Source organism: Homo sapiens, chromosome 13 (genome assembly GCF_000001405.40).
Source record: "Homo sapiens chromosome 13, GRCh38.p14 Primary Assembly".
Classification (NCBI taxonomy): domain Eukaryota; kingdom Metazoa; phylum Chordata; class Mammalia; order Primates; family Hominidae; genus Homo; species Homo sapiens.
This window is the reverse complement of record NC_000013.11, coordinates 30,603,834-30,623,320: the sequence shown is the minus strand read 5'-3', so window position 1 is coordinate 30,623,320 and position 19,487 is coordinate 30,603,834. Positions and strand designations below refer to the sequence as shown.

The 19,487-nt window shown below is 39.3% G+C and overlaps 2 protein-coding genes across 14 annotated transcripts in view, besides 5 other annotated features; one reads left to right on the top strand and one right to left on the bottom strand.

The window, feature by feature from the left end:
- The window catches only part of USPL1 (ubiquitin specific peptidase like 1), a 42,847-nt gene extending 37,446 nt beyond the window's left edge, over positions 1-5,401 (bottom strand). For 4 of the 12 annotated variants that reach the window (NM_001321532.2, XM_047430032.1, XM_017020315.2 and 1 more), the window contains exons 1-2: positions 5,265-5,401; positions 1,429-1,557 (exon numbers count right to left, since the gene is read on the bottom strand). Coding sequence is in view for 6 of the 12 variants with exons in the window: in XM_047430028.1 (XP_047285984.1) it covers positions 1,429-1,557; positions 2,082-2,180 (228 nt within the window). In the remaining 6 variants the exon portion in view is untranslated. Of the gene's footprint in view, positions 1-1,428; positions 1,558-2,081; positions 2,249-3,580 lie in introns of all 12 variants that reach the window. The other 8 variants (NM_005800.5, XM_017020314.3, XM_047430028.1 and 5 more) reach the window with 7 other exon arrangements.
- Positions 5,324-5,373: an enhancer, noted in NCBI's record as "active region_7541". NCBI's record gives its function as "activates an Ori minimal core promoter by ATAC-STARR-seq in GM12878 lymphoblastoid cells {active_cell/tissue: GM12878}" and the evidence as "EXISTENCE:reporter gene assay evidence [ECO:0000049][PMID:35858748]".
- Positions 5,394-5,723: an enhancer, noted in NCBI's record as "active region_7540". NCBI's record gives its function as "activates an Ori minimal core promoter by ATAC-STARR-seq in GM12878 lymphoblastoid cells {active_cell/tissue: GM12878}" and the evidence as "EXISTENCE:reporter gene assay evidence [ECO:0000049][PMID:35858748]".
- Positions 5,724-19,487, top strand: part of HMGB1 (high mobility group box 1) — a 160,894-nt gene continuing 147,130 nt past the window's right edge. The window contains 1 exon segment of one of the 2 annotated variants that reach the window (NM_001313893.1): positions 5,724-6,650. The gene's annotated coding sequence lies outside the window, so the exon portion shown is untranslated. 2 annotated transcript variants of the gene reach the window in all.
- Positions 5,774-5,913: an enhancer, noted in NCBI's record as "active region_7539". NCBI's record gives its function as "activates an Ori minimal core promoter by ATAC-STARR-seq in GM12878 lymphoblastoid cells {active_cell/tissue: GM12878}" and the evidence as "EXISTENCE:reporter gene assay evidence [ECO:0000049][PMID:35858748]".
- Positions 5,934-6,003: an enhancer, noted in NCBI's record as "active region_7538". NCBI's record gives its function as "activates an Ori minimal core promoter by ATAC-STARR-seq in GM12878 lymphoblastoid cells {active_cell/tissue: GM12878}" and the evidence as "EXISTENCE:reporter gene assay evidence [ECO:0000049][PMID:35858748]".
- Positions 15,363-15,422: an enhancer, noted in NCBI's record as "active region_7537". NCBI's record gives its function as "activates an Ori minimal core promoter by ATAC-STARR-seq in GM12878 lymphoblastoid cells {active_cell/tissue: GM12878}" and the evidence as "EXISTENCE:reporter gene assay evidence [ECO:0000049][PMID:35858748]".

Sequence of the window (19,487 nt, the reverse complement as noted above, 5' to 3'; positions counted from 1 at the left end):
CAGCTCCCCCATTATTTTTCTGATCCACCTTCTATCGCTCTGCTGCTTTCATTGCAGTAGCACAAACATGACAGGCAGCCTCCATTCTCTCAGGGCCTTCCTGGAACTTGCTTCCCCTGCCTAGAAAGCTCACTGCTCTTCACCTCTTTCAGGCTTTTGCTCGAATTGCACTTTTCATTGAAGCGTTCCCCTCACCATCCTATTTAAAATTGCAAACTCCCCCTACTTTGGCATTCCAGTCCCTACTGCCTTATTTTTCTCCACAGCACTTTTTATCACCTGACAGAAAAACACATACTTGTTCACTGTCTTTCCCACTCTATGACATAACTTCCTTAAGGGCAAGAAATTTTTGTTTTATTATTGTATCCTAACATTGTATCTGCAACAGTGCCAAACAGTGACACTCATAAAAAAAATTACTGAATATAAACATAAAGAAATTTATATTTGTAGACACGCCTGGGATTACTTTACTTCAAATTATACCCAGCATAAGTATCTATTAACAACCATGTGATTTAGTCTAGTATTTTCCAAACCTGGCTGATGATGATCAGACTCATCCTCAAATGTTACAAAACCACAGAATTCTGGGCCAACTCTATTGAATCAGCATCTGGGGGTGATACTCAGAAATTTATTAAAAGCACTCCAGGTAATTCTGATGAACTGCTAATTTTTTGCTGGAATAAACAGATCTGAAATTAGAAGTCTGTATTCCAACCACAGCTCTGCCACTGTATCAGGATCTTATGTTCCCAAACCCTCTGAAATCAATTTATTTTCTTATTCATGAAATAGGAATACAAATCTTGCAAAGTTCTGAGAATTAAAAGTGTATGAGACAGTCTCATAAACTGTCAAATACAATAAAATGTGGAGTATTACAGAATTTAATGAGCTGCTATATAAAAGCCGTACCAGTCGGTACAAATTACTATAATTCTAAAAGCGATTTAGAGCTTCTAAAAGGATCTTTTAGAATTTACAAGATTCTATACTCTCTTTAGTTCAGAGTATATATACTGGTTTTGGACTAACCAATTTCCAAAATACTCTTCCAGGTACATTAGAAATTCATAACTTTTCCCATCAGTTGCAAAGATAAACCAAAGAGATGAGAGAGTAACTACTATATGCTAATAGCTAACAAGGACCTCCAAAAGGTTAAAAAAAAAGAAAAAAACCTTGAAATGTATTTTCTCCTCTCGCAAATCAAATGGCAATAAAAACGAACATCTTTACGCAACCAAGTAAAGGTAGGTGGAAAAATAACATTGTATACCAGACAGACTTACAAACTGAGATTACATATTAAAAATCTAGTCTAAAAAACAAAAAATGAGTAAACTTTTAAAACAATTAATAAAAAAGCAAAAGAAAAAAGAAAAATCTTATATATACTATATAAGATTAATACTTTACCTGCAGATCCTCACACAAAAAGATAGATTCTTGAAAACTAATTCGGTAAGTCTTTAAGGCTTTTAACTTTCCCTTCTCTCTACAAGCAGGGCAATACTCATCTGATGGAACTTTAGCTGAATCAAAATTCTAAAAGAGAAATAAAGCAAATTAAAATATAGACATTCCTAGAATATATCAAAATATTAAAAGTTAAATGGAAAGGTAACCAGAAAAAATTATAATTTTCAATTACAAGTATCCTGACAAGGTATTTTAAACATGGCAAACAAAAGAAATGCATATAAGCCTTTAAATACAGCTATTATTCCAAAAAGAATTATGTTATAGTTTTAAATATTAAATTTTATGTGTTAAGAATAGTATCAATTTTATTTGCAAGGAAAAAAGTAACATCAATTACCCGGGAGAATTTATGTACCATATTTTCAAAGAACAGTAAATCATAAGGTCTATGTTTTATTTCCACTTTCATGTATCAATAAAACACAGAAAGGTAAACACATTAAAACAATCTTTCGCCATTACTGTAAGATTTCCGTGGAAGACACAATTTTTTAGAAGTTAACTGGTAACATCAAAATTGAATTTAAGTCTCAAAAATAGAGAAAAAAAAAAAACTTTGCACTCAGGCAAAAAATAAGTTCACTAACTTTTCCCAAATACCCCACCATGTGGAGTGAAGATATCCCTATATCAGTCCCTGGTCCAATCACTGGCAAACCATTTCCAATCTTCGGAGAATCCATCATTCCGAGTCATTGGCTAATTTATGTCACTTGAGACATGTCAATATCACTAAGGATTTTTTCAATGAACCCTGGAAAAAAAAAGTCAATAGACAATTAAATAAAAATTCTATTTACTATAAAAAAGAACCATGCTATTTTATAAGACGTATATAGTAAGCAGATTTTGAGGGCTATATGTCCTAGAATAAACATATTCTAAAATTATAATCTTGAAGTGAAAATGATACCTATATTTATAAACCCAGCAAATTTGTGAACAGAGGGTAGTGACTGGCAACAGGACCGGTTTTCATAGCAGACTCATTTGTCAACAAATTAAATAAAACTTGTAGTAGAGGCAGCTACTATTTAAAGCAAACTATATTGACCAGAATTTGAAAGCCTAACTTTTTAGAGTCTATGTACAATTTGAAACAAATATGCCAGCATTATACTGAGAAAAACCCCAGATCCATTGTGCCACTATTTGACAGGAACAAAAGAACCAGTGAACCATATATTCCATACATTCCTATTGTTTTCAACTACCAACATTAATACTTCACCAGTTGGGAAAAATACTACTTATTAAAAGCTGCTAACAAATTATTATTTGTAAATGATCTAATTTACACCACATTTAACTTATTTTGTTATCTGAACAAAAATATAAACACTGTCCTAGTACAAATTACATATGTGGCAAGCTTGTTTTGAGTGCAGTCCTATGGTGCAGAACCACATTTAACAGAGTAAAAATTACAAGAGACCGGAGCTCAGTGTAAGCAAAAAATAATTAAGAGCATTTTAATTGTGGGTTCACAATGATAGGAAAATCAAATACAGGAGACCTTTAGGGCAGAGGAGAATTACCACTTAGCAGAAATGTTGTAAAATAATTCTAGGCATAAGTCTTTCCCAAATCCAAGAATCCATGATTCTATGACACCCATCTCCTGGGAATCGATGGCTCACAATTCACTTTAAAATCTAATTACGCTATTCTGGTTCGGCTATATAAACTTCACAAACCTTTCAAGCCAAGGAATAATTTCAAAAATAAAACTGCTTTTTAAAGAAAGTATCGGCGAATCTTAATTTCCTATTCCTGAAGAAATAACCATAAGACAGAAATTTCTCAACTGCAGCACTACAAATATCTTTGACCAAATAATTGTTTGTGAAGGCTGTTCTATGCACTGACGATGTTTAGCAGCGTCACTGACCTTTACCCTCTAGATCCAACAGCCAAAAGTTTCCTGACTTGCCAAATGTCCCCTGGTAAGCAAAATCACCCCTTCTGGTGAGAACTACTGATGCTAACTTTTTTCTTTCTTTTTAGGCACAGACAACTTATTACCTTTGGCTGGTTCTATTTATAATCTACTTACAAAAGAGAACTATGTAGGAGTCAAACTTACGCTTTTCAGGCTTTGTACCTGCAGATGTTGGTCCAGACACTTACTTGTAAAATTAGTTTCTTCTAAGAATTAAATGAGATAAAGCATGTAAAAAGTTTAGCACCTGACAAATTAAAGTTACTATTTGGTGCTAATTTTATACTTCATTCTGCGTAGAGAAGCAGTACACGTCGTATCATTCTGCGGTACTCTCAAATGGGAAACTAGTAGGCTATGTACCTTGAATAAACTGTTTTTGATGAAAATTTCCATCTACCTGAGGGAACCTAGAAAACTTTTTCAAATCAAACGGTTTTCTCTTTGTCTCTCTCAATTATAAAATATAAAGAGTCTCCAAATCTGCTCTCCTGATTCCATCACCCAACATTTCAGCGGGAAAAACCAGATAGGTTGGTGGTTGAAATCCCGAATATATAGAATCCCCCAAAAGAAAATTCATTTAATACCAGAGGTTTATTTGTCCATATGAGGGACATAAAAAAAATACCAGAGGTGGGCTCCCCAGTTCTTCTTCCAAATACAATTCACTTTGACTTACATACAAAATCCCGGGGGGGATTTTACAACTTAATTTGACCCTAAGTAACTGCTCTTCCTCCCTTCAAAAACAATCTGCTCCTCCTTCCCATATCTCACTTAAATGTGGGCGTCTCCATCCTTCCAAACACACAGACTAGAAAGTCTTGAGTTGTTCCCTATTCTTTATTTCCCTCTTCGCACAGTAAGTCACCAAATTCTGTGGACAGTTCTTTGGAAAGGTCTCAAATCTCTACCTCTTTCCCTTCCATATCACTGTCAAAATGATGCCTCTACAAGTCTGAGCCTGTCAATGCTTAGTTTAAAATTCTCTATTTACTCTAGCCTGATTACAGCAAACTCCGTCCAAACAGCCCAATATAACCTAAAGGTAGTATTATGACCTAAAGCTCATTGTACTGTGAAACCAACCTAGCTTTCCAGTTCTGTCTTCCTCAACTCTACTTCACCCCCAGCATCTTTCTTCTAACATCCCCTTTTCATACTTCTGTGAACCACTTATACTCCAGAAGCCTTAATGTGAATTATTAGCCCAGCATGAACCCAGTTAGATAGCACAATGAACGTGTCAAGGTGGCCCTGGGAATCGCAAAAAGTATTCAATTAAACTTAATTCACACTCCTGTGTGCAAAATGGAGAAACCCAGGGAAACAGCTGTTCGAAGAGGGGGCCTTAAACCCACCCATTTGAGCTCGCCCTCCGAGAGCGAGTAGGCTCGGCACGTGAACTGTCAAAAGCGAGGCCACAACCGACCTGGAAGCCGAGGAACAGGGTCAGCTTTCTGCACCCAGCCCTGTCAGGTACCAAACCCAACTGTCTTGAATCAGAGACGAACAGGACCAAAGGAGGTGAGTTTCAACACCCAAACTAAGAAGCCGAAGGAGGCGCAGGGTCCGTTAACCCTGCCCATCTCCACGCTCCTTGGAAAACGAAAACAAACTCTGGTTTCTCTTCAGCGTTCACCTCTCTGCGCCCAAACGGATCTGTAAGTCCAACTCTATACCTTAATCATCAACCTTTCCCACTTGAACCCCGTCCCAGCCCAGCCCATCCTTTCAGCGCGCCGACTACCCCATAGGTCATCCCAGCTCTGTCTCTTTTCCCAATTTCGAGAGCGGAAAGAAACCCCTCCCTCTTCTCCCTTACCTGCCGCGGGCACTCCCCTTCTTGGTACCGGGTCGATCGGAACTCCTGTTCCAGCTTGATCTCCACCCTAGTTGCAACGTTCAACCCACGTTCCCCTCGGACTGCTCCTCCCCCACTCGCGTCTCCACTAGGAAGGCGGCTTCCGGCTTGAGTCCGCGGCAAAAGAGTCCTCCTTCCTGCTGCACGCTGGGCCTGAAAGGACGGTGGCGTGGCGGGGAAGGTGAAGACGTGAGCACTTCCGGTCGCCCTCCGCAGAGGCGTGGCTGTCCGCCCTGTGGCCGCAGACGCAGTTGCGACTGCGGCGACGAGGAGGGGCGGGGCCGGTGGCTGCTGAGCCCGCCATGTGTGAGTGGCTGGGTTTGGGGAGGCGACGTTTCTGGAAGCTGCTGGAAAGCGCCCGAGTGGCGGAGGTGGCGCCAGCGGCCAGGGGGTGGGGCGTGATTAAAACTAGTGCGCGGCTTTCTGCGGAGGGATTACGCTGACGAAAGAGACCTGCTTGCGCGTCGCTGTTCCGTGGTCCGCGCGAGCGTGGTCGGGAGCCGCTGGTTCCTGGGGTGACCCGCGGAGGTGGGAGAGGGAAGGGCTTCCGAAGCCGGCGGGGGTGCCATGGACCCTCTCCGCCGGCGCGGCCTTCACAGCTGGGCCGCGCCGGGCATCCGTAGTCCGCTCTCCCAAAGCCTCGGTGGAGCTGAAGCTGCCACAGAGTGCATGTTCACAAAGGGTCATCACACACGGAGCTGCCCCTCCCTGTCTCCCTAGAGCCCATCTTCGAGGCCAGGGGCTTTTCTACCAGGATTCTGGGGTGTTTCTCCTCCTTTCCTCCCTCCCAGATCTTCTCACGGTAAGGGGAGCAGCGAAAGCGCAGGGACTTTGCATTCCACGACCCGTTCTGACTAGTCAACAGCCGATCTGTCCCTGCTGCTCTAATTCCAGCTGCCCTGCCTTGTTTTAACTTCAGAGAAAGGGGGAGTTCTCATTTGATAAGTTTAAGCCTTTGCTTTCGTAGGAAGGTCATGTGGCTTAAGGGACATCGTGACCGCGTATGCTATTTCTGCCTGTGCATTCTAAATCTTGGGGGCAGCATATTCCAGAAGTCCTTTTGGTCGATTGGTTCTGTGTCCTAGGATAACAATTTGTAGTTTCTGACCATTTCTTTACAGAAAAACCACAATTGGTATTTTGGACTGCGGGGTTTTTTAGTGGTCTCAAACTAAATGATTATATTCTGGAATAATGCTGACAATTTGGATAGGGTGGTGTGGAGGAAACAAGTCTCGTGTAGAAGAAATTATTTAGTAAAAAGGATTTTAGTTTTTGGTACTTCTGAATGCAAATGGCCAAGGAATCCAGCAGTTTGTTGGGGTTTCTCCAGACAAAAATAGGCTGGTTAGTTTGTTTACCTTTTTCTGTTGCTTTACTAGATTGTTAATGTATTTGTATATTTAAGATCTAGCTAGTTAGGTTTTTCTTTTTTATGAATTGTGATTAAAATTGGAGAAAGTAGTACTTCCTCCTGAAATAGACAAAACTCAGAGGGTTGTTTTCTTGTTCACCACTGCTACTTCCATTTTTAGAATGGAATACACTATTTGTAAAAAACAAACTTGCTGAGTATTAACTCATAAATTGAACAAAACAATTGGTTCAGTTAAAATGTAGCTAAAATTGTAAGACTGCAAAACAACATCACCAAACTGAATTGTATTTTTTAAAACGTTGTCTGCAAAGTTGAATTTTAGTCTTTCAGTGTAAATTTGGTATTTTTTCAGAAGAAAAATTAGTAACAGAAACAAAATGGAGGCGGGGCTTGAGTTGTAAAGAGAAAGGAAGGGATTTTAGTGTGTTCTGTGTTTTCGCTCTAGAGCTTTTTCCTCTTGTAAAAGGTAGTACAAGACTTATAAAGGGAAGAACTTTGGTACAGGAGATCAGCAGAGATTGACTAGAAAACCCCTTTCGTTTATATTATAGAGTAACGGTCCCAAGTTGAGAATACTGTATACATTTCTGGTTATTCCTATATATTTGAAATGCTTTTTTCTACATATCCTGGTCCCAGAGAGAGTGCAGTACCTTCCAGTGGGATTAAAGCTAATTGCGTCCATCGCTTGTCAGCAGTGTGGGACAGAAATTTTATTGACCTATTTCCAGTTATAAACTCACATGATTTAAAGGGAGGAAGCTTTTATTAAATTAATAACTAACGAACAGCTGCAGTAGTTCAGTGCTTCTGTATGATTAGGATTTTCTCTTTTTTTCTCTCATTTTAGCCACTCACGATGTCAGCTCGTGCACCTTCTACTAAGTTAGATTCCTTAACCACAATACAAGTCTTTGGCCCAAACCTGGGATATAAAAGCTACTTGCTATGATTTCTTTTTTAGTCTCATAAAAAAAAAATGAGAGTTGAAGTGACTGACTGCTTTCTAGAAGCACTCTATGAGTACAGTCTGTAATCCCACATCTCAATCTAACATTCAGAAAGCGGTGAAAACCAAAAACTTCTTAAGCTTGGCAACAAAATTCATTTGGTAGCAAAATATGACCTGAACTATTGAGAAGCTGTATATAGTCTTTATCCCATGTGTTTTGCTGAAACTATATTAATATGTTTGATTATGGGGTGCTGCCCTTGGCCCCTGGTATGTGTTATATAATGGTTTATATACCCTGTAACACTTAAAAATTGTATGAAATTCTTATTTCTAAAACACATCCAACCCTTGGGTTTTAGTTAAGGAATTGTAAACCTGTATTCATATTTTTGGCAACACGCTTGTGCTATGCATGTGTATATTTAAAAAAGTAACTTAAGACATTTTAGTTATTTCAGTAAATTCAGATGTGTTAGGATAGAAAAAAATACGTGTATCATATTGTGTGTCTGTCATATCATGCATCTATCATATTGTATACATGCAATGATAGAGGTATGCACAGCATATTTTTAAGTGTAGCCGTATAGTGATCCAAACAAGAAATTAGTAGTTTCAGGGCTTAAGGTTAATTTATACATTAGACTCTAAAATTTAGATAAAACATGACAACTCGGCCGGGCGTGGTGGCTCACACCTGTAATCCCAGCACTTTGGGAGGCTGAGGTGGGTGGATCACGAGGTCAGGAGTTCAAGACCAGCCTGGCCAAGATGGTGAAACCCCGTCTCTACTAAAAAAAAAAAAAAAAAATACAAAAATTAACCGGGCGCGGTGGGAGGCGCCTGTAAACCCAGCTACTCGGGAGGCTAAGGCAGGGAGAATTGCTTGAACCCCGGGGGTCAGAGATTGCAATGAGCTGAGATTACACCACTGCACTCCAGCCTGAGCGACAGAGCAAGACTCCATCTCAAAAAAACAAAAACAAAAACATGACAACTCGTAATGTAGCCCAAACTTACTTGGTTCTGTTTTGCCCCCAGAAAATGAGAAGATGGTGTGATAATAGTCTAAAGTTGATACTGGAATATCTGACATCTAATCCCATCTCTTCTGCTGTGTGACCTTACACAAGTCACTGAATTTTTAATAGTCTAAACTTGATATTGGAATATCTAGCATCTAATCCCATCTCTTCTGCTGTGTGACCTTATGCAAGTCACTGAATTTTTAAGGTCTCAGTTTACAGATCTATAAAATGAGAAGTTTGGAATAGATGGATCTCTTAAGGAGAGTTCCTTATAGTTTCAACATTCCATGTGCAGGTATTTGCTCTTAGAAGTACCACCTGCTTTAAAAAGTTTTTCCTACTAAGGGTGTAATCCCATTTCATCTCAAACTGCTGTCTTGCTGATCTAAACTTGTCATTTTGTTCATAGGTAACACATTCATTCACGTGGTTCAAAATTCAAAAGGTACAAAAGGATACTCAGTCATTTTCTGCCTAGGAAGCAACCAGTGCTACCAGTTTCTGGTATATTTTTCAGAAAAATTTTACACATGTAAGAACAAATAAATTACTATATATATTTTATTTTTCTTCCCTTTTTCTATGTAAATGGTACATACTATGCATAGTGATTATGTACCTTATTTGTTCACTTACCTTAAAAGTTGTTCTGTTATTATTTAAGGTATTTCCTTATTTTTATGGCTGCATAATCTTCCATTTTATAATGTACCATTATTTCATCTACCCTATCCTTTTGAACATTTAGGTGTTTTTTTTTTCCAGATCTTTATTAAAGAGCATTGTGCAATGAAGACCTTTCTACGTACATCATTCTCCACATATGTGAATATATTTGTGCCCTAGCCAATGGTACGGCTGGGTCCTGTCTACTTTGACTTATGTGTTCTCCATGCCAGTATTGTATAGTGGAGTCAACACCCTGTTGACTCTAAAGTAAGCATATGAGATAAATCACATCACCTGAATGGCTGTTTTTTCATGTGAGCCCTGAGAGCATGTATGTACATACATAATATGCATAAGTATGTATATATGAAGCAAGTAGATTATGTGTAGAGACTTTGTCCTAAACAAACAAACAAATAAATCTTTAAACACTAAAATCATGCCACTGAGCAAGATTTACAATGAGCAGCATATGAAAACAGCAATGAGTGATGTAACAACAGGTTTGTTCTTTCCAGCTCATGCTCATTCCAAGGCATGTACTCAATTAGTACTCTTAAGCTGATGTTTTTCTTTAAAATTTTTTGCCAATAATATATGGTTGAATTTATGTAGCATGCAACTTCTAGATATTCCCACTTTACCAGTAAGAAAACAATGTGTAAGGCTAGGCACAGTGGCTCACACCTCTAATCCCAGCACTTTGGGAGGCTGAGGCAAGCAGATCACTTGAGGTCAGGAGTTCGAGGGTGTGGTGGCACATGCCTGTAATCCCAGCTACTCAGGAGGATGAGGCATGAAAATGGCTTGATCCTGGGAGGTAGAGACTGCAGGGACCTGATATTGTGCCTCTGCACTCCAGCCTGGACCACAGAGACCATACTGTCAGAAAAACAAAACAGCAAAAACAAGGCCTAAAAGAAGTAACAATTTACTCAAATTTGCATTAACAAGGTGGCTGACCTGGTACTAAAACCTACATCCTCTCATTTCTAATCCAGGGCTTTTTCCAGTATATTCTCGTAATTGGACATGTAGCTCTAGCAGATCTGAGAATGTCCAGTAATTAGGAACTGCTTTAGGTACAGTCACTCTTCCTAGACTCTAGAGCAACCTAAAGTTCAGAAAGCAGCAGAACGTTTTTCCAGTGACAAAATAACGTTCTATAAGTACTTGTTGAAGTAATCACACAACATGTTGATTAGCAATCAGGAAGCCTCCAAATCAAAAAATTAAGTGCAGATAAAGAAACACTCTTTCCTAATTGGGACATAGTTGTCACTTCAGGGTGAATTGATCAGTCATAAGGACTAGAAGGAATTTAGGATTATTTGGACATAGGTAGTCTTACTTTCCCCAGAGTTCATGCCATCATTTAATTTAGCCAGGAAATTTAAAATAATTGTCAACAGAAAAGGAGAAGTGGTAGAAACAATAGCAAAAGAAAAATGGAAAGTTGGAGGATATGCTTTAGTAACTACATTCACATAGAAGGTTAGATATGCTTTAGTAACTGTATTCGCTTGAAGCTGGCATTGCAGCACATGACTGTCTGCTTTAAGGCCTTAGCTACCTGCTGACAATGCTAGTCCCCTTTTCTTTACATAACTGTCTTCTCATCCTTGGAGTCTTAGCTCGAGTGTCTTGTGTCAAGCTGTCCACCCTATTTGAGGAGCCCTCTGTCCTCTACCCCTACTCTAATTCTTTCTCACCACCTGTTTGTTTTCCTCATAGCATATGTATGTGTGTGTATATATGTGTATGTGTGCGTATGTATATATGTGTATGTGTATATGTATATATACATGTATGTGTGTGTATATATGTATAACACACACACATACACATATATTTTTGGCCCCATAGTAGGTTGTGAGATCTGTAAGAGCAAGGATTACATCTGTTTGGTTCACCATCATCTATATAGTGCCTAGTACATAGTGCATATTTGTTGATGAGTTATCTTGGTGGCTCCCAATTTTCAATTTACATGGCTGACCAAACCTACTTTTAAAACAGAATGTATTAAATAGCCTATTTCATTCATGTTTGTTAGTTCAGACGTATGCATAATTGATACTCTTTTCTTATTGAGAAAGCTATTAACTTTTTCATCAATGGCTTTTTTTTTTTTTTACATTTACTGTTTTTTTAATAAAGGATGTTTTAAAGGGTACAGATGAACAGCCAGATGAAGAGATGCACAGAGCCAAAAAGCTTGTATTTAATGTGCAAAGGACTGCCATAAATGCAGGGAGAATACAACAGTGAATAATGCATAGTCCTTATTCCTAAAGAGAAGTAGAAACGTTTGTAAACAAATAGTTTTCATACAAGGCGGGATGAAATAAGTGCTAAATAGAGTTGTACAGGCAATGTTTTGTAGAAGCTATGGAGGAAAAAATGATTAATTTTAATTATAGGAAGACCCTCACAAAGGTGAATTTTTACTTCAGTCTTCAAAGAAAAATAGAGCACAAGTCCCTATAGATGAGGAATAGGGATGAATAAATGTTTAGCTTCACTTTTTAAAAAGTCCTTAAAATAGCTGTAATCCCAGCACTTTGGAAGGCCGAGGTGGGCAGATCACGAGGTCAGGAGTTCGAGACCAGCCTGGCCAGCATGGTGAAACCCCATCTCTACTAAAAAAACAAAAAATTAGCTGGGCACGTTGGCGCATGCCTGTAGTCCCAGCTACTCAGGAGGCTGAGGCAGGAGCCTCAGATCCAAGATCGCACCACTGCACTCCAGCCTGGGCAATAAAGCGAGACTGCGTCTCAAAAAAAAAGCAGTATTTACCACAAAGGACTCATAACACATTGTTACAAAGCAATCTTTTTAAAAAATGTTAGTTAAAAATAAAATGACTCCAGCCATAAACATTATACTTCTGCAACTGAGGATGACCGTAAAATCACTTAACTGTTTTGACTAGGTTGACAGCTAAATTGAGGGTCAGTTTAATGATTGAATTGTAACTGAGTGCTAATTGGAGCTGGTAATTGTTTAGTAAATGTATCAGTTAAGATACATTATTCATTAGATAAAAACTAATGAATAATGAAAACAGATTCATTTTTTAAAAAGATTTTTAAGCCACTGGTGGTCTTTAATATATGGTTCTCACCACATAAGTTAAAATGGGGACTGTTTTTTGGTGGTCTAATCTGATTTTGTAAGTTTATTTTTGCTTCCCTACCTCTGTTTTGCTAAGCAATATAGACCTTTTCTTCCCACTTTTTTTTTTTTGTTTTAGTGTAGGCATTAGATTTACAGATCTCATTTAAACTTGGCCATATATTAATCTCAGTTTTGTTACTTCATACAAAATATTTAACCTCCCTGAGGCTCAGTTTCACTGATAAAATGAAAACATCTACTAATCCCACTTCTGTTATTTAACTAATTTTGGCCTCAGGCAAATTATTTAACCTCTCTGGGCTTCAGTTTTTCCATGTGTGAAATGAAATTCTCTTAAATGAGGTAAGACATAGAACAATGTCTGGCAGTTAATATGCCCTCACAGCAGATGTTGGTTTTCCCTCACCCTTCCACCTCATCTAAACCCTGCATGTCCTTTACAGATTGCTTTAAATTCTGTTTTCTCTTTCCTTTTCCAACTCCTAGCACTCTCTTCTAGAGTTGTTGCACTTACCATATATACCATGGATTCTTAAATGGGTATTATTACAATTGACCCTTGAGCAACACAGGGGTTAGGGACCACCCTCTCCTTCCCCATGCTTTTGACTGCCCAAAAAACGTAGCTGCTAATAGCCCACTGATGACTGGAAGTTTACTGATAGCATATATTGTTGACTAACGTATTTTGTATGTCATATGTGTTATATACTGTATTCTTACAATAAAGTAAGTTAGAGAAAAAAAGTTACTAAGAAAATCATAAGGAAAAGTAAGTATATTTACTAATCATTAAGTGGAAATGGATCATCATAAAGATCTTCGTCCTTGTCACCTTCACATTGAGTAGACTGAAGAGGAGCTGAGTGGATAAAGAAAATGTTTATGTACATCGTGGAATACTATTCATCCATACAAAGGAACGAAATAATATCTTTTGCAGCAATTTGGATGGAGCTGGAGGCCAGTATTCTAAGTGAAGTAGCTCAGGAATGGGAAACCAAAAATGGTATGTTCTCACTTAAAAGTGGGAGCTAAGCTATAAAAACACAGAGGCATAAGAATCATACAGTGGACTTTGGGGATTCGGGTTGGGGAAGAAGGTTGGATGGGGGTTAAAAGACTACATGTTGGATACAGTGTACACTGCTCAGGTGACAGTTGCACTAAAATCTCAGAAATCACCACTAAAGAACTTATCCATGTAACCAAAAACCACCTGCACCCCCCAAAACTATTGAAATAAACAGGACGGGTTGTTCTTGCTGTCTTAAGCCTCATGGCAGAGGCTTAAGAGCAGGAGCATGTAGGGAGGGAGGGAGGAGAGGCAGGCACACTCGGTGTAACTTTTATTGAAAAAAATCAAATCCATTTTATAAGTGGACCCAGGCAGTTCAAACCTGCATTGTTCAGGGGTCAACTATATATTGGGAACTTGTTAAAACTGCAGCTGCTTGGGTTTCATGCATGATTCCATGAGTTTGGCATGGGGCCTGGGCATCTATATTTTTTTCTCCCTCAGATTTTCTTACGCTTACCAATGATCACGGCCTTTCACCTATTTGTTTTTTGTTTGTTTGTTTTTTTGAGACGGAGTCTGGCTCTGTCACCCAGGCTGGAGTGCAGTGGCGCAATGGCTCACTGCAAGCTCCGCCTTCCGGGTTCACGCCATTCTCCTGCCTCAGCGTCCTGAGTAGCTGGGACTACAGGCTCCCACCACTACGCCGGGCTAATTTTTTGTATTTTTAGTAGAGACGGGGTTTCACACCGTGTTAGCCAGGATGGTCTTGATCTCCTGACCTCGTGATCCACCCGCCTTGGCCTCCCCAAGTGCTGGGATTACAGGCGTGAGCCGCCGCGCCCGGCCTCACCTATTAATCGTGTTTTTTATAGTTTCTGTTTAAAACCAGGTGTTTTAGTTTAAACCTCAAATATACTATAAACTCCATGAGGGCACAAAATTAAACTTAGTTTAGAGGTTGATAAGTAATGCCCCACCTTTTTTATCTGCCTGTGTTTGGATCCAGTTAAATCACATGAAGATTGAAATTAAGTTTACTGAAAAAAGTTGTTTCAAAAGGTAGCTGAGATTTGGAGCAACAACGAGCTGCAAAGAACTAGGCAGATTTAAAATTCGAGTTTTTCTATCAACAAGAATAGAGCTTGTCCCACTACATTTACTGTGTAAGAGAGCAGGCCAAAACAAATGACCCTCTTCAGTCAGCCAAATCCCAAATGGAAAGAAGAGAGGAAGTTGGCCGAGCCTCAGAATTTTTTCTCCCAAACTTGCTGTCAGATCAGTTAGCCCCTCCTATCCTAGAAAGGAGTTAAGAGTAGAGGTCAGCCATGAATATTACGGTAAGGAAGTTTTATGTGGAGTATGAAAGAGCTTTCCTCATGCCCTCAACAGTACTCAATAGGTATTAATGGATTTTTTTTTTAGTACTTTGCATCGGGTTGCTGTGATTTTTAGTACCTAAATAAGTTATGAAGTTACAACTTCAGTTAAATCAGTATGTATTATTGTATTAGTTATATTTTGTTATGTAACAAATTATTCCCCAAACAGCTTAAAACAACAGACATTTGTCATTTCATACATTGTGTATGAAATGATACATGGTCAGGAATCTGGGAGTGGTTTAGCTGAGTGGCTCCAGTTCGGAGCCTCTTATGTGGTTGCAGTCATCTAAAGGCTGCTTGAGTGTCTTCACAAAATGACACCTGGCTTTTCCCCCAGAGCACGTGATCTGAGAGAGAGGCAGAAACCACAGTGTCTTTCACAACCTAACCTCGGAAGTGACCTACTGTCACTGTGCTGTATTCTATGGGTTACACAGACCTACCTACACAAAGGTATGAATACCAAGAGGTGAAGGATTCATTGGAGGCCATCTTGGGGGCCGGCTACCACAATTTTATAACATGTTAATTTCACTGTATACCTCACAGAACAAGTAATTCAGTAATGTCTAATATCCCAATAAAATCGTTTCATGGTAATTTTGTGAAATAATTGTATTTTTATATATATTATAAAATTTGCTAGCTAGAGATTAGGCTGTGAGAATATGTCCAGAGGATGATTCTCTACTACCAGCCCCTTCCTGTCTAGCTCTATTTCTGTATCAGTAATTTATATAGCATGATCAAGAACTACTCTGGTTACATGTTCTTCTAGATAGTCTGTGAAAGTTCAGGTGATTTATAGACAGACTTACCATAAGGTGATTGTATTAGTCTATTTTCACACTGCTGTAAAGAACTACCTGAGACTGGGTAATTTACAAAGAAAAGAGGTTTAATTGACTCACATTTCTGCATGGCTGGGGAGGCCTCAGGAAACTTAAAATCATGGCAGAAGGCAAAGGGGAAGCAAGGCACATCTTACATGGTGGCAGAAGAGAGCGAGCAAGTAGGAGGAAGTCCCATGCGTTTAAACCATCGGAGAACTCTTTCACAAGAACAGCAAGGGGGAAGGCCGCCCCCATGATCCAGTCCTTTCGCACCAGGCTTCTCCTTTGACACGTGGGGATTACAATTCAAGATGAGATTTGGGTGGAGACACAGAGCCAAACCATATGAGTGATAATAGCTACAATTTTGATTTTAGTATGAGTTAATAATTATAGTCTCCTGGGAGGTGCCTCATGCCCATCTACTGATTTATTCAAGTGAGGGTTTCTTTTGCAGTGGTAATAATTAGGATAAGGTGGACTAGATGGCTAGTGAAGGTCATTGAAATAGTCCATAGGCCCAAAGAGCCTAAAAACCATCACTGTAAGCAAGTGGCAGTGCTTTGATTAAAATTCTAATGCCAAAGCTTAAAAGAAGTTCAATAAGTGAAATAAAATGATTATAATTTATTTCTTAAAATATGCTACGTAATCTTACAGTGTAAGTGAGGAAACTTGAAATGTTCATTGAATTCAGGAGTGCAGAATTCATTTGTCTTCTATAGCTATTCAACACAACAGAAAAGATAAATCACTTGAAGATTGTGGCAGAAGATGTTTTAACATAACCTGACAATGCCTAAACATTCTTTGGAATTCTAACCATAAGCATTGTTAGGTCAGTTTGCATTTTAAGTTGCTTTAAGTACTTACAGATGAGTGACCAGTTGTAGAAGCCCAAATATTTGTATAATCAATTTTCTCATCCAGATGTAAGCTGTTTATTACATAGACATAAGCATGTAGAGCATATTATTATCAGACCCAGTGAACTCATTTGGATGTCATAATTTCCAGTCATGTAGGCATATTTGACAACAACTTTCACCCTCAAGTGTTCGGAGGCACTATTTTGCTAATCAGGGAAGAAATTTTAGGAAATTCATTTTGCTTTCCAAATGTAATATGATCAATAAAATGTTTGGTTTGGTTATTGATCAGCTTTAAGACATGCTCTCCTATGAATTCTTAGGGTAAATGAGAGATGGTAGTAGTTTTTTTCTGAATATAGGGTATATAAACCCTGAAAGTTGCTCAGTTGAGTCTTCAGAGCTAATAAGTGATGATAAATGAAAAACAAATCTTGGAATAATTGATTTTCTGAAAATGAAAGGGCAGAGATATAAGGAAATTGGGAAATGTTAGACTATTGTGCCAAGAGTAATAAATGTATTCACTACCCTAAAAAACTATCCTTCTAGAATAGAAAAACAAGTTCAATGGCATGACATAATCAGTCAAATTTATTCTATAGGACAGGTCTTTTCAAACAGTCATCATTATTAATAGAGACCAAAGACACATGACAACCAAATGCTGTGCATGGACTTTGACTTGATCCTGGTTTGCAAATCACATATTGGGGAAATTGTAATATACCCAGCTATATAATATATTTGAGAATATATTTTTAATTTTCCTAGGTGTGTTCATGGTTACTATGGCTATGTAGGAGAATGGACTTATTTTAGGAGATACATCCGAGGTATATTTAGAGGGGAAGTTATCCTCAAACAATACACAGTACATACAGGGAAAACATATGGCATTAAATGTTGAATCTGTGGTAAGAATAAGGGTGGTTGTCAAACAATTCTTTCAGCTTTTTTATATGTTTGCATATGTAAAATGAGAGAAAAAAAAATCCCTCTCTGGAACCATGTTTCTTCACTGAGCTTTGCAAGAAAAGGCCTCAAGAGAATGTATCATTGTTTATGGCTACCACCTCTACCCTTCTTCTGCTGTTCTCTCTCTTGAATTCAGACCTGTGAGACTTTTATTCCTGTCTTCCCACCAAAACTCTCATTTCCACGTCGGCATTGGCCTCCATGTTGCCAGACCTGGTGGTCCTTGCTTAGTCCTCATTTTGCTTGACCTCTAAGCAGCATTTGTTGCAGTCGATCAAATGAGTATAATGATTCTCTCAGACTCTCAGTTCTCCTACTTCTTGGCTTCTCCTTAGTATCTTTTGATGGTTCCTCCTCTTTTTTAAACATCGGAGTGCCTCTGGGCTCGGATCTCGTCTCAATTTGTGTTTAGTTCCTAAATCACCTTATCCTGTTGTATAGCTTTAAATACTATTCAGATGTGGAGACTCCCAAGTTCATATTGCCACCCCAGCCTCTCCCCTGAACTTCAGACTCATTTATCCATCTGCCTACCTGATACATTCACTTGGTGCCAAATAGGCATTCCAAGTTTAATATATCCAGAACTGAGCACGTTGGTCCCATCAGTCTCTTCTGCACAGCCCCAAACAAAGCAAGCACATGCTATTTACCTGCTATTCCACATTCTTCCTCATCTCCGTATGAGGAACGTCGTTCTTCTCATTGCTCAGGCAGTAAACCCTGGTGTCTGATTCCTATTTTCCCCTCATACCTTACATTTAATCCCTCAGCGAATATGGTCACCAGTACTTTAAAAACATTCAGGCCGGGCGCGGTGGCTCACGCCTGCAATCCCAGCACTTTGGGAGGCCGAGGTGGGTGGATCACGGGATCAGGAGATGGAGACCATCCTGGCTAACATGGTGAAACCCTGTCTGTACTAAAAATACAAAAAAATTAGCTGGGTGTGGTGGCACGCGCCCGTAGTCCCAGCTACTCGGGAGGCTGAGGTGGGAGAATGGCGTGAACCCAGGAGGCAGAGCTTGCAGTGAGCCGAGATCACGCCACTGCACTCCAGCCCGGGCGACAGAGCGAGACTCCGTCTCAAAAACAAACAAACAAAAAAACATTGGGAAGCTAAGCACTTCTCCAGCTCTTACCACTGCCATCTCAATCCAAGCTACATTCTAGGACAGATTATAACAGAGTTTCTCAGCCTTGGTACTATCAACGTTTTGGGCCAGCAATGTTGGGGGAAGGGCTGTCTTGTGCATTGTAGGATGTTTAGTAGCATCCCTAGCTTCTACCTGCTAGATGCAAGTAGCACTCCGCCCCAACAGTTGTGACAGCCAGAAATGTCACCAGACATTGCCGAACTGTTCCTTGGGGGGATATTGGATTATGGACCACTGGATTATAGCATTACCCTCCTATTGTTTCTGCTTCCTCTCACCGCCATGCAGCTTATTCTCCATCTAGCAACCAGTGTATCAGATCAAAACATGAATCAGATCATGTCTTGTCTTTTCTTCACAACCTTCCTGTGGCTTCCCATCTCATTAGCGTCAAATCTGTAAGTGCCTACAGATCCCTTCCTGACCAATTTACATACCTGACCCACCCACCCCCCAACTTGGAGAGCAGCTTTTTCTCTTTGTGCAGATTGAAAAGGGCATCGTTTCCACTAGATGGATGCAGCCTCTTCCCCTGCTTTATTTTTCATCACAGCATTATCACCGCTTTACATGTTCTGTTTGTTGAATGCATGGTAAGATGAGAAGTATAATTGTCAAAATGCATACAGTCGTTCCTTGGTATCCATGGATTCCACATCTGTGGATTCAACCAACTGTGGATCCATAATATTAGACGAGAAAAAAAAGCATCTATTCTGAACACGCGTGGACTTTTTTCCTTGTCATTATTCCCTAAACAATACAGTATAACA